A 10,448-nucleotide genomic window follows, 5' to 3' on the forward strand; every position below is an offset into this window, starting at 1 on the left:
GCCCGCCACCATGCCTGCCTAATTTTTGTATTTTTAGTAGAGACGGGGTTTCACCATGTTGGCCAGACTGGTGTTGAACTCCTGACCTCAAATGATCCACCCCCCATGGCCTCCCTAAGTGCTGGGATTACAGGCGTGAGCCACCGCACCCGGCCTGTATGCATATCTTTGTTGAGGACGTTCTTCCTTTCTGTTTACCACTGTTACCACCCAAATTATTTCAATTTTTAAGAGTAGGTTTCTTTTCCAATTAACCTTTGTACACTGTTTTGTGAATTATACTATAAAATATGCTCAAATTGCCCTCAATCAATATTTGGTACTGATAAATAATAAAATATTTTCTGAGTAACAAGTCATTTTCAAAATTCTCATTTTCATTACATAATATTTATAATACAATAATTCTCTTAGGTGGATGTGACTGCTAGATATTCTTCTCCGGTTCTGTGTTTGGGCACAGCTTCAACTGACTCAGGGATTCTTAGCCTGCCTAGCCATAAGACTCCCCTGGAAACTGATTATGCATACAGATTCCAGGCCTCACCCCTCCACCCCAGACCTGCTCAGTTACAATCTCTGGGTGACTTGTATCATCAGACAAGTCTGAGAAACTTGAAACTAGTGAGGCTGCACTGGGAATTTGATCAATGCGTAATTGCATGTTGGTGTATAGGAAAGATTTATGGATGTGGATTGAATTGATAGTGTTCATTTACTTTTATCACTAGTCAAACATCATAAGAGAAAACTGCTCTCCTACTTTCTTTAAATTTTAGCTTCTATGAGACTTCAGTTGAGGTAATATAAAAATTATTTTTTGAGCACTACCATGTACAAAGCACTATTCTAATGTTTTTCATGTATCTATTACTATTAATATAGAGAGACGAAATAATTTGCCCAGAGCCAAATAAGTAACATATGGGAAAACTTGGACTTGAACCTGAGAAATCAGATTTCAGAATCTACACAATTAACCCCTGCAATATATTGCCTATAGCCACCAAATCTAAGTATGTATTAATGTGTCAGGCACTACTATATTAAGTACTTCATATACTTTTAGTACTTTTAATTCATTTACCAATTCTATAAAGTGGGATTACGAAAGGCAAATTCAGAGATATTAAGTATTTTGCCCAGAGTTGCCCTGCTAGTAAGTGGTAGAAGCAGTGTGGTTTGAAATTGGGGTAGCTCAACTCCAGAACTCTTTTCACAACCACTATCCTGTACGCCAGAGTGGCATGTTTGAAAACACTCATACTTGTCATCCCTTCAGTATTTTATATAAATAGTATTAGCACCTGAGTGGTTTTCTGTAAGCTAATTATATAACACTTCATTGTCTACATTTAAAAATGTCTACATTTAACATCTACGTTAAGACACTTTGGTGTGTACATTAAATTTTTAAAGAGATTCTACAGTATATTATAGAATTCTGTCTCTGAGAAAGATTTGAATATAATATATTGGTCACTCTGTTATCTGTCATAGGCTGGCTGAAGGAGAGATAAGGATTAACATACTTTCAAGGAATTCTTAACCCTCTAGTTTTTATCATTAAAGGATAGTATAGTTGGTGAATACTTGCGTATTTTGTGAACATTTGGTAAGCAGTTGCACTTAATTTCCTTCACTTGAACATTAAATATTCCACATTTGTTCTGTCCCAAGTAAGCTATTCTCCTTTACTTTGAAATGACTTATAAATTTACTTTCACACAATTATTAAAGATTTACTGTAAACTGCTGCTTTCCCCCTCCTTTTTTTTTTTTTTTTGTCCCAAAATGAAGGTGAAGTGTTAATTGGTTTTAATGGCATCTATGGTTACCTCTTTGTCTGGGACTTCTAAGGAAAAGCGAAGAATTGGCAGAAAAATGTGTGAAATTTGTCTGGGGAGGTGAGAAACTTTAATGTGCTTGTGAATTAGTGCACTTCTTCTAGGTAAGACTATTGCAGCATAATAAATATTGAAACGGAATTCTCACTCTTAGACCTAATCCTTTAAGTATATTAGTAGACATCATAGAAGAATTTTCTGAAGAAATATGTTAACTAAGTTTCTGTAGCTGGAAAAGATCAGCCCTTGATAGACTATGAAATAAGAATGTCTTGTGTAAACATACATGGACAACCAGTGAATAGACTGTCTCTCTCAAGAACAAAGGCATGCTAATTTGGATTCAGAACTAGAAAGAAGGAGCCTGGATTTTGCAACATGCTGTTATAGTTAAATACAAGACTATAGTTGCCTGAGACATGTACCTGGCTGTTAACACTTTTTCCCAATAAAAGTGATTCTAATACCAAGAGTGGCTAATTCATCTGAAACACTGTTCCTGGTGCTTATACACTGATACATTTTAGTAACTCTGTGCCTTTGATTTAATAGGTAACCATCTAGATAAGTGTTCTTATTTAACAAAAAAATGTACTGGGATTCTGGAAAGCTCAAAGAAGACTTCTTTACCATTTTAACAGCTTTAAGATAACTAATCTTTTTTAAAAAATTATTATTCCTTCTGCATTTTAGCAGTTGACATTTCCACTTGTACCTTTACCAGAAGGCAGCAGAGTAATGTAATGAGCCCAGTTCTGTGTTGGGGGAGAGAGAGAAAAATATGGCTTTGTTAGCATTTGCTTCTGTAAAATCAATTCAGAGTACAGTGGGACAATAGAAATGCAAACAAAGTCTGTTGATTTGTTTCTACACTTCCCTCTTTTTGTCATTCCATATTGAAGTGTCGGTTGTATTATAAGATACCAAGAAAATGTTTTTTTATCATCAAAGACAAAAACAAAATTTTTTGGCCGTGGGCGGTGGCTCACGCCTGTAATCCCAACACTTTGGGAGGCCGAGGTGGGTGGATCACCTGAGGTTGGGAGTGAAAGACCAGCCTGACCAACATGGAGAAACCCCATCTCTACTAAAAATACAAAAATAGCTGGGCAAGGTGGTGCATGCCTGTAATCCCAGCTACTTGGGAGGCTGAGGCAGGAGAATTGCTTGAACCTGGGAGGCGGAGGTTGGGGTGAGCTGAGGTCACGCCATTGCACTCCTGCCTGGGCAACAAGAGTGAGACTTCGTCTCTAAATAAATAAATAAATAAATAAATAAATAAATAAAATTTTTTAGGCACTTTGAGCCATTAACCCATACCCGTGAGTTAAGTCCTCTACTTGAAATACATAATTTTTTCCACACAATTAGACAGGCATTATTACTACCTTATTTTACAGAAGGTGAAACTGAGGCTTAGAAAAGTTGACCAAGGCCATATCCCAAATAAGCAGCAAAAACTGGAAAGCAAACCTAGGTCTGTCTAATTCAAAGATAATGCTCTTAGTCATTATCTCAAATATGAATTGTATATATAATTTAATAGTGTTCTGGTGTATTTTGTTTTATGTACTTGGAGTCAGCATGTCACAATAAAGAGCAAGATAGAAAAGGCAGGAGATCTGGAGTCAAGACACTTGGATTTGGAATCAACTTGTTTGTTGGAATTCTAATTCTACCACTTATACTGTGTTATATTGGGCAAGTTGCTTTAACTGTTTGAACTTTGGTTTCTTTTGTGAACTGGGAAGTAAGGGAGATAATGGATATGAAATGCTTAATAAATGGTCTATGCTAATACTCTACATTTGCAGAGTGGCTTACGGTTTACAAAGAGCTTTCACCAAGATTGTCTCAGGTAATACTTAGTGATATAAGTGTTTGAAGTTCATTCATTCTTTTATTCATTCATCCAACAAATATTTTATAAGTGTCCACTAGGTTTCAAGCATTGTTTTACAAGTTGGAAAGATTTAGCAGTGAAACTACAGGGAAAAAAAGACTCTTGTTTTCATGGAGTTTGCATTTTAATGAGGCATATAGATAATAACACATAAGCAAAATATTAAATATATTAGATAATAACAAAGGTAGCATTTAACTCTTATATGGTAAGCACTATGAGCTAGTAGTTAGCTTAATAGCTAGAAGCATATTGTGATTCATAGATTAGCTACATGATTTTCCATTATAGACAAACAAAACCTGTAAAGTACTTACAGTTCAACTACAAACTTAAAAAATTGTATTGTTTTAAAACAATTAGGGGATTTAAAACAATTAAATGTTGGTACACATCACCAAAATTGGTGAAATATCTTCTAGCTTTAACATTCTATGATATATTGGCTAAAAGCATGGAGTAAATATGTACCTCTTATACCTGTCTGTCTTTATGTAGGTCTGGCAAGTGTACTCTGAATATAACATAACAATAATTCACAGATTTTTTTAAAGATTATTGAAAAACACAAAATAATCTTGGCATTTGTTAACTTTGTAAGCTAGTCAGTATTCTCTTGAGTTGTATGTCTCAACTTCAGCGCAAAGCTAGGAAAAAGCTTCAGTGATCTGAAACTTCCATTCTCTTGTACTATGGCTCTTAAGAAGATGCAATGGGATCATGAGCAGATCTTGTAGGGAACCCAGACATTAAGGTTATTTCTGTCTACCCTGAGTTTAAATTCACTGAAAGCTACAAGAAAGACAAGTGTTACTTTTAGGGTAGTTGACAGCCATTGACTATTGATGACTCCAAGTCATCATTCAGCATCATGGGGCAGAGGTCTGTAAGTATTGGAAGAAAAAGTCACATCTCCCCATTAAACGTTTTGAGATTTAATCCTGAAAATGCTTTCTAGTTATCTCAGTAAAAGGAAATAATCTTTTTTTCTTGACTCAAACATTAAAAAATTTACTGATGAAGTATTTCTGGTCAGTGTTTAAGACAAGCTTGTCCAACTCATAGCCCATGGGCCACAGGCAGCCCAGGATGGCTTTGAATGTGGCCCAACACAGATTTGTAAACTTTTTTAAAACATGAGTTTTTTTTGTGATTTATTTTTTATTTTTAGCTCATCAGCTATCATTAGTGTTAGTGTATTTTATATGTGGCTCAAGACAATTCTCCTTCTTCCAATGTGGTCCAGGAAAGCCAAAAGATTGAACACCCCTGATGAAGAAGTTAAGAGCCCAAGCTTCAGTAACAGAATTCTTGTTCTACTACTTACTATTTAAGAAGAAATCCATTATAGCTTCAAAATATTTTGAGCATCTTTCCACCTCTCTACTCACCACCACTATTCTGTTCCACACAGTGTTTCTCCATACAGTAGCTAGAGTGACCTTATTACAATTGAAATCTGACAGTCTGATCCCCACACCTTCTCCTCCTCTTTTACTTACTTCTCCTGCTCTCCACCCCCTATCTTCCCCTTATTCCTCCCTGCCCTCTTAAAAACTGCCCGTTTTCTTTCTTTTATGCTAGAATGAAGTTCAGACTCCTTATTCAGGCCTACCTTGCTGATCTCACCTACGTCTTGATCACTGAGTGTAAGTCACCTGAATTCTTCTAATCCTTAAACACATTAAGCTGATTTCCTATTTGCAACTTTAACACAGCCTGTTTCCTGTGCTCAGAACACTGTTCATTTTACTCTTTACATGGCTGACTCTTTATCTCTCGGGTCTTAGGCTTTCTCTTACCACCCAATCTAAGTAGGTTCTCTTGTTATGCTCACTCATAGCACCATGTTTTTCTCTTTCATGGTACCTATCATAGTTTTTCACTTTATATTCCTTTGAGTTTTGTTTAATATCTGGATTCCTGGGTGGGCACGGTGACTAATGCCTGTAATCCCAGCACTTTGGGAGGCCAAGGCGGGTGGATCACGAGGTCAAGAGATCAAGACCATCCTGGCCAACATGGTGAAACCCCTCTACTAAAAACACAAAAAATTAGCTGGGGGTGGTGGCATGCACCTGTAGTCCCAGCTACTTGGGAGTCTGAGGCAGGAGAATCGCTTGAACCTGGGAGGTGGAGGTTGCAGTGAGTGAGCCAAGATTGCGCCACTGCACTCCAGCCTGATGATAGAGTGAGACTGTCTCAAAAAAAAAAAAAAAAAAAATCTGGATTCCTGTCCTCCCCCAACCATAATCTTCATGTCTTTTTGGTCTACTGCTGTACACCCAACTCCAGCCACAGTCATTGAACAGATACTCAGTACATCATTGTTAAGGTTGAATGGATAACAAATCTCTATGACCTTTCGAAGTCTTAATTTGCTTTTCTGAAAAATAGGGATAATAATTCCTATCTCTAAAGTTATTGTGTGAATTAAATGAGATTAAAAGATCTAAAATACTTAATGCTGGGCTTGACAAAGTCTTCAACAAATGGTAGGGTCTGTAGCAGCAACAACGTAATCAGCAGGCACTTATTAAGCCCACTGTATGTGTAAGACGTCACTAATATTTATAGAACATATTTTAGAAAGAGAAACTTTTTTTAGACTTTTGTTTAATCTAGCCTTTTCTGGGTATATTCATTAACATTGATCCCCATATTAAGGAAATTAAAATGCGAGTTTCCAGCAGTGATTCCATGCTTTTTAATGGAACATTGATATGAACTAGCCTCAGTTTTATGTTGTCACAATTATCAGAGCCCCCAACATACATTCAACAGGGTATTACTTTGTGTAGTAATTGCCTAGACTATCCTCCCTCCACTCCAGCCAGCTGGCATTGAAAAAGAAGCACTGCTTTTATGTGTGCACGTAATCAATCTGTAAAATCCCATTATCCCCAACTTCCACACCCCCGTGGCTGCATGCTTCCTTTTGAAGCCTCTTAAAAAAGAAAAACTTTGAAGGCAACCTTGAAGTTTATTTCTAATCTCATTCTAGCCATATAACATAAAAATGAGATAGGGGTAGGGAGTGGGAGGGGTTCATAATGTGATTTGCTTACCTCTTTGCCTGGAATCTTATGATACTTGTAGGTAAGCCCAGTGAAAGTTTACATGAGTAAAAATACTTCTTCAGTGTGTATTTTGAGATAAAGTTGGATTTAATTCTGTTTCAAAGTGTGAAGAATAGAGCAAGGTTAATGTGGTTATTCTTGTTCTTCTTTTAATCTGTTCTTAATGTCTATACTATTTAGAATAAGAGTTTCCACCCACCTCTTATGACCAGCAGCCTGTGTAACTGATTATCTGTTAGAGTCCTAGGTGCAATGCCCTTCCCACTCTGCTTTCCTGTTTCATGTCTGTTTCTTTCTGAGAATATTATCTCCCTTCTGGATCATTTTCTAACTGCTTTTACTAGGCCACTGCAATCTTTTTCTTTTGGGTTCCAATTTCCCATGTGATTGGCATTTTTCTTAGCATTCTTCCCACAGTCTTGAAGTAATTGACGTTTTTGCTTGAGGATGACCTTTCCTGTTTCCTCCATCTCTAGAAACTACCAACATTTGATTAAAGTAGGGTAGGGGAGAGGTGTGGGATGTAGGTAGGTAATCTCAAAAATGTTTTCTCCAAACATGAAAGATGTGACTATGCTTCTGTCATCATTATTCAAAAACATTTATTCTGAAGTCTGTATTTTATATATGCATCACCTAATCCCATCATCTTCTCCATCCTCTTCATCTCTGGGACATTTCCCCATCTTCCTTAGAGCCTGAACTACAAACCTTACCTTCATACCAACTCATTCCATCTCTCTCAGTGACTTTGTTCTCCTAGCTAGTGATTCTTGTAAAACTGTAGCTTCTCGGTCTTTATTTCAGGCATCCTAGAGCCACAGTCATGGCTTAGGCCGCACCTCTTGGGCATCTCAACTTTCTTTTCTCCTATTAAATATTCTTCCTGTCTTCATTGTAGATTCCTCTCACTATACTCCCATCTTCTTCCTCAGGTTGATATATCTCCCTCCTGGTGTTCACTTCCTTTTTTTCTATCTTGTTCCTCCCCATGACCCAACAAGACCCCTTCACCCTCTTAACTTCTTGAAAGAGTAGTCTTAATCATTGTTTCTGTTTTCTTTATCTCCCATTATCCTGTCAGCACCCTAGAGGCTTTTCCCTCATTACTCTGCAGACGCTGCTTTCATAATCCCCAAGGGTCACCTCATTTTTCATATTCAGTGGTGACCTCTTCTATGTCTTTACCCTGATAACATTTTTGACATCCTCCTTTTTTAATACTTTCCTTCCTTGACTCCATAATATTTTCTTTCTGTGATTATTTTCCCTCCTCTGCAATCCCCCCCTTTTTGTTTGTTGTTTCTTTGATGTGGATTCTTCTTCTTCCCCTGCTACAAAGGGTAAGTTCTCCTTTGGCACCTCTTTTCTCTCTGCTTATTTTCTGTTGATTATCTCATCCGCCCTCTCAATGTTAATACTCACCTCTTAGATGTGGTTTCCCTTCCTGATGCTGAGGATATGTCCCCACATCCTCCTTTGTAACATTCTGTAGACATGTCCAGAGGGATAATGTAAACCTAAGGTCATGTTAATTTATTATCTAAACTGGGTCACTGTGGAGGGTTGAAGAGGGCACTATTAATAATTAGCAGATGTAAACCTGTACTGCGCACATAGTCACCTGTTCAAAGCCAACATTTACAAAATACTCTGAAATCTGTTTCTTCTCAGTTGTTTTCCATCTTTATTAATTGCCTCACCAACATTCTACTTACCTGTGCTGAAAATCTTCATCATCTTCAATATTCTACTTTTTTTACTGTATCTTTTTAATTAAAGCTTTCTTTTCTTTATTTCTTTTTTGACCCCATTCCACTGGCAGTGCGCTGTTCAGGCCCTTATTTCCCCTTGCCTGAAATACTGCATAGCCGTCTAACTTGTCTTCTTGTTCCCAGTTTCTCCCATTCATCTTTAAGCAATATTTTTTATTTTTATAAAATGTTGCCTGAAGTGCACTGATCATTTATATACCTGCTTAAGAGTCATTGCCAAAGAATATCAATGCAGACTTCTCAGCTTGGAATTCAACACACTACAAAGCCTAATGGAAAATATACCTTTCCAGTCTTACCTCCTTCATGGACCCTGTATTTCAGTTGGACTATTGGCCTTTATCCAAACACCTCCTAAATCAGTGGTCCTTGACCACATCATAATCACCTTTGGAATTTTTTTTTTTTTTTTTTTTTTTTTGAAATGTACATGCCTAGCCTTCATCTGGGAGCTTTTAATTTAGTAAGTCTTTACTGGGGCCTAATCAGACCCCAATAAAACCTCTTAATAAAAACCTCCCTCAGGTGATTCTGACCAAGGCCAGGGTTGAGAAACATTGCCCATTTTTATTTCTCGATAATTTTGGTCACATTTTTTCTTCATAACCAGTATGTGCTTTTCTTTAAATTCCTTCTTACCCTTCAACACCTATCCTATCTCCTTCATGAGGTCTTCCTTGAGCTATTCAAATAGATGTAGTTGTTTCTTCCTTTTTACTGCAGAGCAGTGAACGGTCACTGCTGTTTATGCCTAATAATTGGTAGACAGCACACTTCTTGAAGGCAAGCCATCTGCTACTTATAAAAAAGAAGCCAGCTGGGTGTGGTGGCTCACGCTTGTAATCCCAGCACTTTGGGAGGCTGAGGTGGGTGGATCACTTGAGGTTGGAAGTTGGAGACCAGCCTGGCCAACATGGTGAAACCCCGTCTCTACTAAAAATACAAAAATTAGCTGGGTGTGGTGACGCAAGTCTGTAATCCCAGCTACTCGGGAGGCTGAGGCAGGAGAATCGCTTGAATCCAGGAGGCACAGGTTGCAGTGAGCCAAGATTGTGCCACTGCACTCCAGCCTGGATAACAGAGTGATACTCCATCTCAAAAAAAAAAAGCCAGTCAGTAAAAGTCATTGACTAGTTAAGAATATTTGTAGAGAACTTTGAAGTTCTTAAAAAGTGATTGATAAGCAGGAGTTATTTTTTGCTAATTTAACAAAAAGTCCCAAAACAAAAAGTACGGTGTTTGTAATTCTAAGACTATGCTAAATTAAGATTTGTTAATCATGCTAAGAAGGAAAAAGGAATTAGAATTTTAAATGCTGCTACCATTTTCAGCAGCAATGAACTAATAGTACATTCATTGGTGGATTGATTCCATTAACACTCATGCTTCAGATGCTTTAGGGCATGTAGCTCTCTTTGGATTCCTCATGAAATTGTCATGTTGGCATGTAGCTATAAAATATGCATTAATCAGAAACTGTAGTTACTAAAGCCAAGTTCTTTTCACTAGTTTGTTTGGAATAGGGGAATAATACTTTTAATAAATCGGCCTTCCTGTAAGATAGAGCACAGTGTCATTTTTAATAGGGAGCAAGAATAAGTGCAGTGATTAAATGCAGTTACAAATGGCTGCATCTAAAAACAATTTTTGATTTTTGTCAAACATTTAGCAAGGGAGTAATTTTTTTCCTCTAGTTTTTTGTAGCTTTCCCAGTTTTTTTTTGTTGTTGTTTTTGTTAAAGTTATATGCTATATATTCAGAATTGGATTCTTTTTCCCTATAAATTTGTTAGTACCTGATTTGGAATTTAGTCTTATTAATATCATTTAGTTTGGGATGCATG

At 37.1% G+C, this 10,448-nt stretch overlaps 1 protein-coding gene across 3 annotated transcripts in view; it reads left to right on the forward strand.

The window, feature by feature from the left end:
- MACROD2 (mono-ADP ribosylhydrolase 2) overlaps positions 1 to 10,448 on the forward strand; it is a 2,057,682-nt gene that overhangs the window by 316,147 nt on the left and 1,731,087 nt on the right. The window lies entirely within an intron of this gene.

Source organism: Homo sapiens, chromosome 20 (assembly GCF_000001405.40).
Source record: "Homo sapiens chromosome 20, GRCh38.p14 Primary Assembly".
In the NCBI taxonomy this organism is placed as follows: Eukaryota; Metazoa; Chordata; class Mammalia; order Primates; family Hominidae; genus Homo; species Homo sapiens.